This window comes from Homo sapiens, chromosome 5 (assembly GCF_000001405.40).
Source record: "Homo sapiens chromosome 5, GRCh38.p14 Primary Assembly".
In the NCBI taxonomy this organism is placed as follows: domain Eukaryota; kingdom Metazoa; phylum Chordata; class Mammalia; order Primates; family Hominidae; genus Homo; species Homo sapiens.
This window is the reverse complement of record NC_000005.10, coordinates 78,612,982-78,629,480: the sequence shown is the minus strand read 5'-3', so window position 1 is coordinate 78,629,480 and position 16,499 is coordinate 78,612,982. Positions and strand designations below refer to the sequence as shown.

The 16,499-nt window shown below is 44.3% G+C and overlaps 1 protein-coding gene across 6 annotated transcripts in view, besides 2 other annotated features; it reads left to right on the top strand.

Annotated features, from left to right (window-relative positions):
- The window catches only part of LHFPL2 (LHFPL tetraspan subfamily member 2), a 163,543-nt gene that overhangs the window by 19,292 nt on the left and 127,752 nt on the right, over positions 1 to 16,499 (top strand). The gene's annotated exons all lie outside the window — the stretch shown is intronic.
- Positions 2,919 to 3,118: a silencer, noted in NCBI's record as "fragment chr5:77922186-77922385 (GRCh37/hg19 assembly coordinates)". NCBI's record gives its function as "represses an EF-1alpha promoter that drives an FKBP-Casp9 reporter gene in an ReSE screen in K562 erythroleukemia cells {active_cell/tissue: K562}" and the evidence as "EXISTENCE:reporter gene assay evidence [ECO:0000049][PMID:32094911]".
- Positions 12,426 to 13,625: an enhancer, noted in NCBI's record as "CDK7 strongly-dependent group 2 enhancer chr5:77911679-77912878 (GRCh37/hg19 assembly coordinates)". NCBI's record gives its function as "activates an origin of replication core promoter dependent on BRD2, BRD4, P300/CBP, MED14 and CDK7 cofactors, with strong dependence on CDK7, by STARR-seq in HCT116 cells {active_cell/tissue: HCT116}" and the evidence as "EXISTENCE:reporter gene assay evidence [ECO:0000049][PMID:35650434]".

The window sequence follows — 16,499 nt, the reverse complement described above, 5'->3', positions numbered from 1 at the left end:
TCTGGGAAGAGTTTGCTCTATTCCATTTCCAGAGCACAATCAATGCATAATTTAGGAACCACCATTTACTTGGACTAGGTAGCTTGTCAGCTGTGATTGGGTGACCAGTTTGTCTTACCTACTGTAGGGGTTTTGTTGTTGATTTCAGGAAAACGTACAGGTACTTGTTTCCAGGAAAAGTTGATTTTAAATTGAATATCTTAGACTTTTTCCCTTACAAAAAGATAGGAGGTATTGTTTTATCATTATCATGTCCCCTTTCAGTTAAGAAATGACTGTTTCCTGTTCCTTAGCATCTTCTTAACACTATGGGCCTTTTTAAGAAGGAAGTCCTTTGGATAAGTAGTTAATAGGAGTAATATTTCCAAATAGGCAAAAGACTGAAAAAAGTCCTCATCCATCTTTTTTAATGTTAAAGAGTAAATATTCTGCGTTCTATGATTCCTTTTCCCCCTTTTCCCTATAAATCATTCTTATATTGAGCAATGTCTCAGGCTTCTGAAATCCTGTTTTCTCAGGTTTCTTCTTCAAATCTGGGGAAGACTTGGTTGGCTCCCTTCAGACCTCCTCCATTGATGCTTATCTTTCCTGACTTTATTTCCTAATGGCCAAGCTTCAGGGCTCACCTCGCCTGCATTTCATCTACTTACTTGACATGACTGCAGAGAAGTCCTTCTTCCCTTTATGGCCACAATTTGAAAAAGAAAACAAACAGCTGAAGCTCTCCTTGCAGCCCAGCAGGCTGGGGAAAATAGTTCTCATTCTCCTTGTTCCCGGGTTCAAAGTGCACTTAACATTTTATGGGGGTGACCAGCCCTCCCAAGGTGCTGGTTTGAGTGGGCCTGTGTTTTAGCCTGGTGGACAGTTAACCATGCTGACCTCCTTCTTTTTGCCATTGCCTTTCTGGCTGAGTTGACGCCAATACTCTGAGTGAGAAGGGGCTGCTGCTCCTTTGAGCGGAGCACCAGGGAGGGGTGGGGAAACATCTGATCTTGTTCAAAGGGGATGTCTCTGAAGCATGAAGATTGAACTGATTGTGACCCCACCCTGGGGGAAGGAGACATTCTCTCTGGAGAACAGGCCAGGAGGAAGAAGCCAGCAATTACTAATCCCATTGGCCTGTGGGTGTTCAGGGTCTCATATCCGTTTAAAAGAGAGAGAATTGGGGTAGAAGGTAATAAAGTAGGCCTTAAATTAGAGGAGCAGGGGGTCATTTTATCTAATTTTGTGGTTGTTACTGAGGAATAAAAGGCAGAGGAGATAATTTCATTAGCCCTTTTGAGGTCTTTATCACAGCAAGATGGCATTTTGGGATCAGCAGAGCCACACAGGGCCTGTCCACGTCTCTCCTGGTAAAACGAGAGCTCGATATCCAGTGTGCCAAGGGAGGGGCCGGGAGGCACAGTAACCCTTCAGGGCACTGTGGTCAGGAACAGATGGTGTCTCCTGCCACAGTGAGAGGTTAGTTGCTATAAGTCCTGATGTAGGACTCAGCCAGCTACTCAGGAACATGGCATTCCATCTGAAAATGAAGAAATCCACCAGAGAAATGAGCTCCTGCAGAGTTGGGACTTAGTCTTTTGCTTCTGAGGAAGGCTTGTGGGTCCTCTGCTGTTGACTTGTTTTATTTGCAGCATAGTGGTCATCGGACAAATTCCTTTGAGTTGAGCATTATTCGGAGTGTCAAAGCACATGGTAGAGTTAGCAGAGAGTCAGTCAGAGCTGTGCCTTCTGTCAGGTGAATGCAGTTCTGTTCAGAGTGGAAGTAGCTATCGAGGGCTTCATAAATGCCCTGCTGAGTAGGCAGGTATTTCTGTTCATGTTTGCAGAGAGGGAGTGAGGCAAAGAGAGGTCCTGTGACTTGCCCGAGGTCTCCTTGTAGGGAAGTGGGGAATCTGGATTCTAACTTTGAAATTAAGCTTTCTGTGATCAAAATTAGTAGAAACAGAGGAAAAAGGATGAGGAGGAGAGCAATAAAGGTTTCTTTAAGAGAAAGGAGAGAGAAGTAGTGGTGAGAAACAGTTCTTTGTACTAGCCACCAGCTGGCACCATTCCCCAAAAGCAGCTTGGTTTCTTTCTGTGGGGAGGGAAGCAAAGTGACCAGGGGAGACAGGGAAAGTGAGGGAGGCTGGAGAGGGGAGGATAGAAAGGGCTTTTAGAGTGTCTGACACAGCCCTAGGCAGTTGCTGGTTAACTTCGAGGGCCTGTGCATATCATCTGAAAGGACAAGGCATCCACTGCCTCGTCAGGAGTCTTGCTGGGGCTCAGCCTTTCCCATGTCCGTCTTCATTCACACCCTTACTGTCTCATGTCTGATGGCTTTCTTGTCCTCAGCTTCTCCCTCTCTACTGCATACATTTCTGCTTACTATATTTGTTTTTTGTTGTTGTTGTTTTTTTGAAATGGAGTTTCGCTCTCGTTGCCCAGGCTGGAGTGCAGTGGTGCGATCTCGGCTCACTGCAACCTCTGCCTCCCGGGTTCAAGCAGTTCTCCTGCCTCGGCCACCTGAGTCGCTGGGATTACAGGCGCGTACCACCATGCCCGGCCAATTTTTGTATTTTTAGTAGAGATGGGGTTTCACCATGTTGGCCAGGCTGGTCTCGAACTCCTGACGTCGGGTGATCTTTCTGTCTCGGCCTCCCAAAGTGCTGAGATTACAGGCGTGAACCACCGCGCCAGGCCTGCTTACTGTATTTCAACTTAGCTCTGAAGAAAAAAAAAACTTCTCTTGAGTTGTGCTCATGAAGACCCTACCCACTGTTAAGTACATTTAATCATAGCTTAGGTTCGTATCGTGCTTATACAAATCTGTTCCCCCCATTGATTCAGGAGCTGGTATTTTCCCCTGCCAGTTGATGATGGAGACTGCGGACACCTCCCTTTCAGTTGGATGCGGTGCCCTCAGAAACTCCCAGAAGGCAAGACTCCAGCCAGGGGTTCTCCTGAAATGTCTGAAGGGAATTGCTGGGGGTGGGGCGTGGAGAGGGAAGAATGTGCACTTGATCGCTTAAGGCTTCTCCGTATCCTGTACGTGAATCTTTGCCCTTCTCTACGCGGATGCAAGAGTCCTCTTGCTTTGGCCACGTGCTGCTCCTTTCCTTCAGGACTGTGGCTAATCAGAAGTTGGCTGCACTTCAGTGCCTCTTAAAAGCTTTTTTCCCTGGCTGTGTTCAGGATGTTGAAGTGCAGTGTCAGAAATGATGTGAGTTGATGAAGAAGAAATAAACAAACCCAGGCAGCATGTGAGGAAGGCTTGGCAGCCCTGCTCCTGTTTTTCTTTAGTTTGGATCTGAAGGAACCAGATTTCCTCATTGGAAGGAATGGGGCTATGAGGGTCCCTGTGCCATGGAGCCTGAGATGTGCATGCCAGTGGGCCTTCTGGACTAGGGCACCGGTTAGTTTAATAACTCTGGGATGAAAATGTGTAGTTTATGGTTGGCAGAATGGAGAGAAGTCACCTGGCCGCAACCCGACCTATATGTCTATATGTAAGTGGAGTTAAAATAGCATCTGTTCAGGGAGGCGGAACATTCCAGAATGCTTCAGTCCCCTCTTGGCGCCAATGCAGAGAGTGGAGAATAGGAAAGCTGGGAGAGACTTCACAGAGCTTCTTGTCTAAGCCCCTTAATTTCAGTTTAGGACACTGAATAACTTGGCTAAAGCCCCGTGAGGCCAGGGGCTCTTGTCTGTCTTGTTTGTTCACCTTCATACCTTTGGTGCCTGCATTGTATTAGGTACTTAAACATGCATTTGTTTGGTGAATGAATGACATAAATGAAGATACGACTTCCGACTCCTAATCCAGTGCTCTCTCTGAGATATTTGTAGGCAGAAAAGTCTGTAGAAGTGTTGCCAAATAACTTGTATGTAGTTGAGGCTATCTTGAGATTATATATAGGTTAGAAAATGGAGATGTAGCAAAATCAAACTGGCTCCTTAAAGTTGGTGGTGAAGACAGGCTTGTTCAGGTTTGGGGGTGGGTAGGAGGCAGGACTGCCACTTTGCTCAGCAGATGGGGCTCCTTTCACATTGGATTGTGTGTGAGTGGTGCCCTCTGAAGTTGGACGATGGCCCCAATAGCTCAGCTTCCCCAGAAGAATCAAGATGACTGTGGAAAAAATAGGCTTGAAGTTGCCCCTTTCCTTACCAGCAGCTAGGAGCCTACCCTCGTTTTGCAGCCCAGTCCCCGCCTTTTCAGAGGGATGTGTGACTTGGAGCTCATCAGACTTACCCTCTGTTTGTAGAGGGGTGTGTGTGTGTGTGTGTGTGTGTGTACGTATAGAATGCTGCAGGTGTGACTGGAAGGTCACGTTTGGTCACTGTAGCAACAGGAGTAGGATGAAGTCCTGCACACAGGGTCTCTGCCACTGTCCAACTCCATTTGGAGAATTGCAACTCTGTTGCCATGGGCCCCAACCAAGGAAACCAGGTCTTACAGTGGGCTGCACTTAGAAAACCAGGGTAGTCCTGGCCAGCATGGTGAAACCCCATCTCTACTAAAAATACAATAATTAGCTGGGCGTGGTGGCAGGCACCTGTAATCCCAGCTACTTGGGAGGCTGAGGCAGGAGAATCGCTTGAACCCAGGAGACGAGGTTGCAGTGAGCCGAGATTGCGCCACTGTACTCCAGCCTGGGTGACGAGCGAAACTCCATCTCAAAAAGAAAAAAAAAAAAAGAAAAGAAAACCAGGATGGTAAGCCACACAGCCACTTCTAGGCTGGTAACTCAAAGCATTGCTGTTTGTTTATCTGTCTTATTTAACTTCTTAGTTAATTCACAAACAAGAAGAGATTTACAATTACAAGGGAGTTTTAAAATTTAGAATAGTTATAGGAGGTTAATTCAAGATTAAAAGTTGCTAAAGAGAATTTGCAAAATCAAGAAATGTTATTTAAATTCGCAAACTCTGATCTGCGGAGACTTTATTGCTTGCTGCTTGCTAGGTTTCATCTGCCCACTCTGGGCCCTCCTCCCAGCCTGGCTGAGGATGTGTCTCTTGAAATTGACCTTCAGGCTTTACCACTTGGCCTGCTATCTAGGGGAGAGTGTGCTTCCTCTGGAATCCTTGACAGCTGACCATTTTTGGGTGGAATTTGTGTGCCTCCTCTGGGACAGAGAACACAGTTCCTCCTGGAAATCCCTTTCACTGGTTTCCCTGACTTCTGCCGGTGCCTGCTTTATACAACCCTTCTCATTTCTCTCCAGGGGATGTGTGGCAGACAGCCCATCTCCCGGTGGGTCAAGAGATAAGCTGGAGTCAAACCCTGATTGATGACTACAGAAAGAATCAGTTGGGTTGTGGCTTCTGTTCTGTATTAAAGATCACAGGACTTATTGATCTAAAGCTGGCAGGCTCTCTGCAGGCCAGCAATGAGTTGAGCCAGTTGCCAAAGCAGCAAGAAGAATGACTGTTGTCTAGGCTATTAGAGCTTGAATGAAAAGAGTGTATTTCATCTTGCACAGTGGCATTAATCGTTACTTTGTTATTCTGGGGAAAACCAGGCCTTTAGGAAGTGATTTGGTGGTAGTGTCCTTATAGTCTGGTGTTTGAACTTCTCATGGGGGCTGTTTTTTGGCACTGATATAGTTATCTATGAGCTTGTCCTGTTGTGTGGTGCTAGCGTAGTGCTTTGGAGCAAATGGTAAATGTTTACTTGAACCCAAAATATACTGTGTGCAAAGCCATGCAAATTAGAAACAAATTAAGAATACATATGTGTTAATAAAAAATGGCTTATTTGGAAAATCTAGTTTCATTCATTCATTTACATGTGGGGAAAACTTGATTATTCTCTTCAGGATTCTTGAAAGTATAAACAAAAGTGAGGTGGGAGTGCCCACCTTCCCCAGCTATGAGCCTTAAGCATTTATGGAGGGTATTTTAGAATGCACACTCTTTAGTGCAGAAGAGTTTCAGCATTGCCTGTGGATGAAGGCACACCTTTTGCTTATTTGTATACTTATTGCATGTGACATAGTTTCAATGCAATAGTTCTCTCTCTCTTTCTTTCTCTTTTTAAAGCAATCTATGGGGGTCTATAACCATAGTGGCAGAAAGAAAGTTAATGGAGACTAAACAATAGTGTTCATGTTTACAAAATTAAATGCTGAAACATGATGGAATTCTGTATTAATGGGGTTTCAACTTGCTATAAAATGAAAATAATGTGATGGAGTTCTGTATTCGTAAGATTCCAATCCGCTATAAAAATTAATGTTAATAAGCAAGAAGATTGGTTCATATTCGTGGTTTTCTTCCTGCAAAGTCAAATAGTATACATGCATTTGTTAATGACTCCCTGAATAAGGTCTAAATCACTTAAGTACAGTTTTATATGGAGTGGAAGTATAAGAATCAAAGTTTGTGGTTATTTTGTAAGAATTTGCTTCCATTTTTACAATGCAAGTCAGAGAAATCTTGATGTGTTCCATCTTTTCTTCCATTTGTATCTTCTCTATTTTCCTCTAGATGATTTCCTCCCCTATTACACATGCTGTTTTCCCACAGCCTAGATAAGATCCCCAATCATCACCCCAGTTTCATCCCCCTTCTTTACAAGGCCTGACCCCGTTAAGGGTCTCCAAGTTCTTCCTCCAGCTAGGCAGGCCTCAGTGGTGTCTCAGTCTGTATCTTCTGGTCTTTTCTGGATCCCAGTTGTACCTCACAAGCAGCCCAGCTCACCCTGAATCTAAAGAGCATGCCTTTTCTGTAGCCTAAAAATGTTAATGATTAAATACACAAGGTTAGATTTTGTTTGGTGATAATGCAGCCCCTTTAAATATTTTACCAGTTAAGAAACATTAGAGAGACTTGTCAGGTTCCTTGGAGGAAGAGAATGCTTGGGAGACAGCCCCTCCCAGCTGCATTTTGCCACAGTAAGGAAGGACTGAATTCTGGGCAGAATGTGTGGTGTGTGGTGGGAAGCCCCAGCCTTAAGAGTCAGGCAGGCTCAGGGTCCAGGCCCTGCTCCCCATTCCCAGGCTCTATGACCTCAGGCAAATTATTCTTCTCTCCAGGGCTTAGTCTTCTCATCTGCAAGATGGGGATAATCATGCCTACTTCATAAAATTGTTGGGAGGATTAAATGAGGGAACCTATGTAAGGCATACCTGGAATTTAGTAAGTAGTCATTGGCGCTGCTATCGTAATAGGAGGGAGTCTGCTTTGAGTAATCCAGTGCCTTCTGAAAGTTTCTCCCTAATTGTTGCCCCTCAGCCAAGGTGCTCAGAGCGTTTAGGTAGCTGATGTTGTTTTAGGCATGTAGTGCATGTAAGTGCTGGTGCCACCCTGTCGCTTTTGAAGCCTGCTCCTGAGTGTCCTGGAGCTCCTGTGTCATGTTTGCTCTTCTCCATAGCAGACAGGTGCTGGAAACTGGCATTTACCGGGGCTTCCTATGCTTTTAGAATCAAGGGACTTCTAGAGTGTGTATTTTGAGATGAGTTAAAATTAATAGTCATTTAAAAAATTAAATGAGCCCTGTGGTCAGATTTCTTAGAGAGTATGTGTTTCTCGGGAGGAACACTGACTAGTGAGGACCATTCTTGGTGGCCAGCTGCTTTGTGGGGCAGTTAGATTCTACTTCCTGGACCAACAGCTTAGGGGGAAAGGGGAAGGCAAAGCCAAAAAATTGTGTAAAATGTATTTATGTTTGTCCTGAGAGAATAGCAATGTATCACACACCATTAACAGGCCTGACCTGCTAACAGTTCTGCACTGCAGTTTGCACCAACCCAGCAATGCAGTAATTTATTTCACTGAGGGAATTGTGGTTTTACTTGCCATGTATTGGTGTCATTGAAACCACGTTTTAAGAGGAAAGTAGCAATTAATGTTTAGAAATGGGAAATAGCTTTACAAATTTGTGGTGGAAGAGACCCAATAAAAATGACTATCAGGAGTTTTCCAAAGGTGAACCCAACAGTTTCTAAATGGTGTTTTCTGTCTGGTAGCTTGACAGCTTTTGATTTGTAAGTGTTAACCAAAGCATGACTGCCACAAACAGAGCAGGGTGTGTGAGAGAGAGTATTACTGCAAGGAAGAAAGTAACTCCACCGAGATGCAGGCAGGCATCTGTGCTGACTTAGGAATGGGTGGAGAGGTCTAGAGTGTGTTTGCTCAGATTACACCCTGTCTGTGTCATTGCTGCTGCTGTTCTCCCTCTGCCAGACGACAGCACTGAAAGAGTGGCTGTTACTCTCTAACTTGGGGTTTGCCTGCATCCATGCATAAACATTTCAGCTCATTATCTTAAGAAACGGAGGACCAGAGCATTTGGGAACCACTGAATACTGAATCCTTTAAGGTTTGTTTTCTGTTTGTTTTTATTATGATTGATGAGATTGGGGATTCTAAATTAAAAGTGACTCCTAAGGATTCAGTTAAAGGATGGTGTCATAATGAGAATGATGGTTTTACCTGGGAGGCAGAGGTTGCAGTGAGCCGAGATCGAGCCACTACACTCCAGCCTGGGTGACAGAGCAAGACTCCATCTCCAAAAAAAAAAAAAAAGGAGTTTGAGAATGATGATTTTCTTTTAGTAGGAGAACTCTTTTTAAAAATGAGATATTTCACTGGAGCCACGGCATATGTGCATTTAACTCATAAAAATTAAACTGTACACACATGGTCCGAAAATAGAGAGAAATCACATTGAGAATAGTTTGGAGCTGCTTGGCAGTCGGCTCCATTAGAGCGGGCGCCCCAGCACAGGGTTTCTCAGCCTCGGTGCTCATAGCGTTCTGCGCTGATCATGTGGCATTGTGGGTGCTCTGTTGTCCTGTGCTTCCTATAGTGGATGCCTAGCGGTGTCCCTGGCCTCTGCTGACTAGATGCCAGTAGAACCTTGCTTCCCCATTCGTGACCATGAAAAGTGTCTCTAGACCTTACCAAATAAATGTGCTCTGGAGGTGTGGAAGAGGGCAGAATTGTCTGGGTTGAGAACCATTGCCTTGGCGTGAGACTGATGGGAGGTGCTTTTCAATCTGTTGCTCCCTTAGATGATCACTGTTTGAGGTCCTTGTTGATCATTGTAGATCATCATTCATAGATCATCGTCGCCTTTCTATGATTGAATAAATTTAAAAAAATAAAAAGAACTCAAACAAATTTACGAGAAAAAAACAAACAACCCCACCAAAAAATGGGCGAAGGACATGAACAGACACTTCTCAAAATAAGACATTTATGCAGCCAAAAAACACATGAAAAAATGCTCACCATCACTGGCCATCAGAGAAATGCAAATCAAAACCACAATGAGATACCATCTCACACCAGTTAGAATGGCAATCATTAAAAAGTCAGGAAACAACAGGTGCTGGAGAGGATGTGGAGAAATAGGAACACTTTTACACTGTTGGTGGGACTGTAAACTAGTTCAACCATTGTGGAAGTCAGTGTGGCGATTCCTCAGGGATCTAGAACTAGAAATACCATTTGACCCAGCCATCCCATTACTGGGTATATACCCAAAGGACTATAAATCATGCTGCTATAAAGACACATGCACACGTATGTTTATTGCGGCACTATTCACAATAGCAAAGACTTGGAACCAACCCAAATGTCCAACAATGATAGACTGGATTAAGAAAATGTGGCACATATACACCATGGAATACTATGCAGCCATAAAAAATGATGAGTTCATGTCCTTTGTAGGGACATGGATGAAATTGGAAATCATCATTCTCAGTAAACTATTGCAAGGACAAAAAACCAAACACCGCATGTTCTCACTCATAGGTGGGAATTGAACAATGAGAACACATGGACGGACACAGGAAGGGGATCATTACACTCTGGGGCCTGTTGTGGGGTGGGGGGAGGGGGGAGGGATAGCATTAGGAGATATACCTAATGCTAAATGACGAGTTAATGGGTGCAGCACACCAGCATGGCACATGTATACATATGTAACAAACCTGCACATTGTGCACATGTACCCTAAAACTTAAAGTATAATAATAATAAAATAAATATATATATATATAAATAAAAACTCTGAGGCATAGCGAGTGTAAACTGTAAACTCTAAAGGATGAGTTGGAGATGATGAAAGCATTAGATTTGCTCCTCAAGAGAGAGCAGCCTCATTGAAATATCTTCTAGAAATTTCTAAGGGCCAAAGCCCTATAAAGAAAAGTGATTGGGGCCAGCACCATGGCTCACTCCTGTAATCCCAGCACTTTGGGAGGCCAAGGTGAGTGAATTCCTTGAGGCCTGGAGTTTTAGACCAGCCTGGGCAACATGGAGAAACCCCATTAATAACAAAAAAATACAAGAATTAGCCAGGTGTGGTGGCACACACTTCTAGTCCCAGCTACTTGGGAGACTGAGGTGGGAGGGTCGTTTGAGCCCAGGAGGCAGAGGTTGCAGTAAGCTGAGATTGCACCACTGCACTCCAACCTGGGTGACAGAGCCAGACCTTGCCTCAAAAAAAAAGAAAAGTGATTGGTCTATTGACACAAATCTTGGCCTTGTCAGTTCAGATATTTTTTTGGTGATAGTGGGGCTCATGGCCTATTTCTAAACTCCAAGTCTGTATAATACCATTCTGCTGTGTCCCGTCTGGTTTTGACCGATTTTCTGAAAGGCAGGCATTCTGGTTCTTTCTTCTCAGGCTCCGAGTCCCGAAGCAGGCCTTTTTCAATGTGTATGTTCAAGTCTCAGTGCATGTTACCTTTAGAGTGTTTGAATTTATATACGGTATGGCTGGAAAAGTTTTGGATTTTAAAACAGGGTCCCTCTCCTTGAATCTGGGTGGACTTGTCAATGCCCTGACCAATAGAGATGACGAAAGTACGTGTCACCGGACTGACTTCTAGGGCCAGTCACAGAAAGCCATGCAGTTCCTGTCTTGTTGGAAGGAACACTGCTCTTCAAGCCCTGAGCTCCGCTTCGTAAGTCCAACTCCCCTAAGGCCATCATGGCAGGAGAGGCCATATCTGGGCGCTTCAGTGGATGTTCTTATCTGGACCCAGCCTTCCAGCTATCCCCACTGACATGCAAACCAAGCCTCTAGACCAGCCCGTCCACCGGCCGAATGCTGCCTGTGACCGACCTCTGCCATTGCCACATGGAACAGAAGCACCTCCCAGCTGCTCCTTGCCCAAATTCTTGACCCACAAAATGTGAGACACCATTAAAACTTGTTTCAGATGACCCCTAAAAAATAAAATCAACCTCTTCATCTGGTGCTCTTATAAAAACTTACTACGGAAGCTTCTTGAGAGACAGTTCGTTGGTCTTCCTGAATAATTTTTTTTTTTCTTTTTTGAGACAATGTCTTGCTCTGACACCCAGGCTGGAGTGCAGTGGTGCGATCTTGGCTCACTGCAACCTCTGCCTCCCGGGTTCAATTGATTCTCCTTCAGCCTCCCAAGTAGCTGGAATTACAGGCGCCTGCCACCAAGCCTGGCTAATTTTTGTATTTTTTAGTAGAGATGGGGTCTCACCATGTTGGCCAGGCTGGTCTCAAACTTCCGAACTCAAATGATCCACCTGTCTTGGCCTCCCAAAGTGCTGGGATTACAGGTGTGAGCCACCGCGCCCAGCCCCTGAATTTTTTTAAGGGTCATGATGCCTGGGAATAAGTTTTGCCCCACTCTGCAGACTTTAATGCCTCTTTGGCATAGTCTATCAAACTATTAACAAATATTTTAATTTTAATAAATATTGCTTATGACAACTATTTTTTAAAAAGTGGAGTTGTTCTGTTTAATCTGGAGAGTAGGGTCAGAGTCCTGCCTTCATCCGGCGCCCTCTCCTAAATTATTGCTCTCATACTCTAAGGCAACTCTGTGGATCCTCCCTGAAGTTCACAGCTTGAAAGAGCTTTGCAGTTATTCTTTCAAGATGAGATCGGCTTGTCCTAAATCCAGCCCTGGGGTTGGAAGCACCTTTTAGGGAAGCACCCTAAAAAGTGTGTCTCCTGGAGGTGAACAGTGTTAAAGTATAGGTTGAAAAATTGCACCCATGGGTGCACAGATGGATGTCTGTGTGCCTACAAGCAGGTAGAACAAACTATCCATTAGGCTGAGCTGGTGAGAGTGGAAAAATAAATAATTATTCAAACTTACCTCTTTCTTAGAGAAAACGAATAGCTTTCACATAAGTGTGGAGTTCCTGTTCCTTTTAAGGAACTCTAGGCTGGGCATGGTGGCTCATGCCTGTAATCCCTGCACTTTGGGAGTCCGAGGTGGGTGGATCACCTAAGGTCAGGAGTTTGAGACCAGCCTGGCCAACATGATGAAACCCCGTCTCTACTAAAAATACAAAAAATTATCTGGGCGTGGTGACACGCACCTGTAATCCCAGCTACTCAGGAGGCTGAGGCAGGAGAATCGCCTGAACCTGGGAGGCGGAGGTTGTAGTGAGCGGAGATTGAGCCACTGCACTCCAGCCTGGGCAACAAGAGTAAAACTCCATCTCAAAAAAAAAGAAAAAAAAAAGAGAAACTCTAGAAGTGTCATAATTACTGTCATTAAAAGGGACTTGTGACACTTCAGATTTTGAGGCCTACCTTATGAGTTCTTCCAGAAGCTAGGGTTTGCTTCAAGAAAGTCAGAATTAACAAACCATATGCAGGGATCTTTCTCCTTAATTAGGGCAGGTGGGCTGGATAAGCTGTCTTTTTGCAGATCTCTGCCGAAATGCAAACCAGTCCAGGTTGTCAGGGCTGTGGACATCAGGCGTGTCACTGTTAATGCTGGGGTCATTGAGAAGAGTCAGACTCATATCAGGAACTGTTGACTGAGGTGTTGCAAGGAGAGCAATAGTTCTCTCCTAGCAAAGGCTCTGAAGGGCTGCCAGTGACAATTGCATGTCCTTAGACTTCCTAAATCCCTTCTAGCATCCTTTTCCTTCTCCTCTGGGACACATCAGCACACTGAGCAAGGATTAGGGGAGGTGAGCATTTATTGGCATAGTATTCTGAAATCTGGATATGACTGCCTTGGAATTCTTACTGTAACCTCTTTCGTGACTTTTATGTAAAATGTCTTCCGAAGCAATCCATAGTCGGGGTGGTCAAGAAGAAAACCTGGGAAGAGGATGGACGCGGTGGTTCATGCCTGTAATCCCAGCACTTTGGGAGGGCGAGGCGGCTGGATCACAAGGTCAGCAGATCGAGATCATCCTGGCTAACACGGTGAAACCCCGTCTCTACTAAAAATACAAAAAAATTAGCCGGGTGAGGTGGCGGGCACCAGTAGTCCCAGCTACTCAGGAGGTTGAGGCAGAAGAATGGCGTGAACCCGAAGGCGGAGCTTGCAGTGAGCCGAGATTGCGCCACTGCACTTCAGCCTGGGTGACAGAGTGAGACTTCATCTCAAAAAAAAACCCCCAAAACAACAACAACAACAAAAACCTGGGAAAAGAGGTTGGATTGCCAAGGGAATGGGAGGATGGGGAGGAGAAGAACAGAGGGCAGAAGGAAGGAGGACAAGAGGGAGGAGTGTGGGTGAGCAAGTTGCAGAAGAGAGTGCAACTGTTAGGTAAGCATTCCTGGTCCTGAGAACCTACCTAGCACCAGCTTTGCAAAGGTAACCTCTCTTCTGTGGAGTCATCTGGGTGAGTCACCTGTGACTGCTTTCCAGAACATTGCCCTTATCAGATGGTCGAAAAGAGAGGACAGGCTGAGGAAGGAGTGTGGGTGTTGTATTTTTTGTGTATCCCTCAGTTTGACCTTCTTAGTCATTTATACTTATGGAGCCAAATGAGTGGCTCCCTTATGATAGTATAGGTTCTTACTAGTCCCAGCATGAGGTTTTGAATCAAATTTTGTTTTGTATTTTGGGACAATCTGAGTTCTTTTAGATTAGGCTGAATAAGGGAAAGGGCTTCTCACGATGCTTCTATCAAGAGGCTAGGTTTGTAGATGTCTGGCAGGTCATAAGTTAATTGGAAATCTTGTGCTTAGAGTTTATGAAAGAGCAGATGAAGAATGCCTACCATATATGGATTTGTTTTTAGAAAACAGTTTTCTGTTAGCTATTGAGCCTTGATGACTTTTTAAAAATTTGGATTGTTTTTAGTCTAATTACCAGTTTAAGATTATGTGATTTGATGTAGGAAGAGGGAAGAAATATGTTATGCTGTTATGTATCTTCCCAGTGTCTCTCCTTCCTTTTTTTCATCTTCCTTTGCTTGATAAACAGGTATTTCTTGCATAAATTTTCTTGCTGCCTTTTGATTTCGTCTTCTGTTTACCGTGATGGTTCTCAACTGGGACAGGACTCTCGCTTCTCCCGTCTCCTCTCTCCCTTCCCCACACTCCACACACCAGAGGCTTTTGGCTGTGGGAGGGGGATTGGTTTGCCCAAAGGCTGTCAGGGAATAGAGACCAGGGATCCTAAATGCTTGTACAGACATCAACTCCTGAAATGTTGATACTGCCCCCATTGTAGGTGGAAGTCAAAGTCTCTTCTGCAGTTTATGGTGGAGAGAGTCTTGAACTTTGATTTTAAAATGTGGCTAAGATAAAACAAGCTAGTAGAGTAGTAAAAAGCCCAGGCTTTGGAGCCAGACTGCCTGGGTTTGGAATCAGCCCTAACAATTACCAGCTAGGTGATCTTTGGGAAGTTACTTGAAGTTTCTTTGCTTCAGTTCCTCATCTGTAAATTGGAGCCAGTGTTATCTCATAGGTTTTTGTGAAGATCAACTGGGTTATAACAGAACCTGCCATGTTTGAAGTGTTCAGTAGTTACTTCTTTTTGGTAAAATATAATTTGAAAGGGTCCGAAGTCACTTTTTTTTCTAAATTTTTTAGTCCTTTTTTCTTTTTCTAAACATGAGCTGTATTGATGCTCTTATTTTTATATTTGCAGAGTCAATATGGGTTCCACCATAAGTTTAAGTTCAAATGTAACAAAATGATTTTAGAATGTTTCCTAAAGACTTAACAATAAAATGGGTAGAGTCTGGCATGTAGTAATAGAAACAGTAGGTTTATGTGCCAGATAACTGTGAGAACCACTTGTATCAGTTTGATTTAACACTGCTTTTCTAATTCCAGAGGTGGAGCTTAGAAGTAGATTATTTTTTCTTAAAATGAGTGAGCTTTACCCAGAGGCTCATTGTACAGGTAAAGAACAAGCTTTCTTGCCATCTCCCACCCTTTGGGGACCTAGTGGAAATAAAAGGAGACTCCCAAGCCAGAGAAGGTGGATAGAGTTGTTCTAGTAGCATTTGTCTGTTGGACCTTGCTTGCTAAGGGGCCAGCTATAAATGCCCAGGCAGATCAGGCCAGGCTGCCCCTGGACGCTGAGGGTGACCACATCAGATTCAGGGCAAAGACTGTCTAGCCATATTTCACCCATGAAGCTTTTTAAAACTTGGAGCTAAACCCTTTCATTAACTCGTGTTTCTCATAGCATCGGCGCCAAATTTAACATCAGTGAGCAGGCATTATTTCTAGGGGCCTGTTCATCAGCTGCCGTAGGGTACTCTGGTGACCAAGACAAGACAGTATTGTGATGAAGTGGCATTTGCTTAGGGTGTCCTAAGCCCCAGGGAGTATGTTGACCAGGGCTCTCTTACAGAGATAGCTGTTTATTCCTCCCCATTATCCTTCATATAATCAGTCCTTTGTTGGAGATATTAACCCCCTTCTCCCTTTTTGTACCTGATGAATCTGAGTCAGAAGTTCAACAACTTTACTAAGATCATACAACCAAGTAAGTGGTAGAGCTGGATTTTGGACTGCAGCTCTGCTTGATTGAAAGCCTGTTTTAAATCATCATCCTGGCTGGCTTTTCTTTTAGTATGAAATAGACATGGATAGTCCATTTCAAATGGATTTAAAAATTTGAACCTGAGAGTAATAAACAGTGAAAGTTACAGATAATAGGAGGAGGTTGACCTCATGCAAACAGGAGAAAGTGATAATTAGCATCTATTTTATTCCAGACACTGCCCATTCATTAATACATTTAATCTTCACAACCACCTTATGGGGTATTAGACCTGTTTTACAGATGAGGCAATAGAAGCTCAGTATAAGTGACTTGTGTAAATGATGCAAAGTGACTTGTGTTAATAATGCACTCTACTAGTCGGTGGCAAAGCAGGGATGTGAATCCTTTTCTCACCATACAATGCTGTGAAAAGGCTGGGACGATCTCCTTGCCTGGTCACTTCTGGTTGCCTCTAAGGTATGTGGGATAAGTCTGGATTTATGAACCAAGAAAAATGAGTGCATGTTCCAAGTTTGCCATGATCTTATAGAACCAGCTGCATTTGTTTCTCATCCAAGAAACTTACCTATGTCTTGAGAGAAGCAAGCCCACAACAGAGGTAGAAAGCTGATAAGGGAAGTTGACCTCTAAGCAGTATATTCTGTGGCCTTGGCCTCATTCCTTGGCCTTGCCCCTGCCCCTCAGGAGGCACCTGGAAAAGGGCTTATTGGCATTCTTTGCACTAGCTTCTGTGTACAGCTGCCTGCTCCATGGAACCACCCATCTTCTTGGTGCTTTGTCTACCAGGAGAACTTCAAG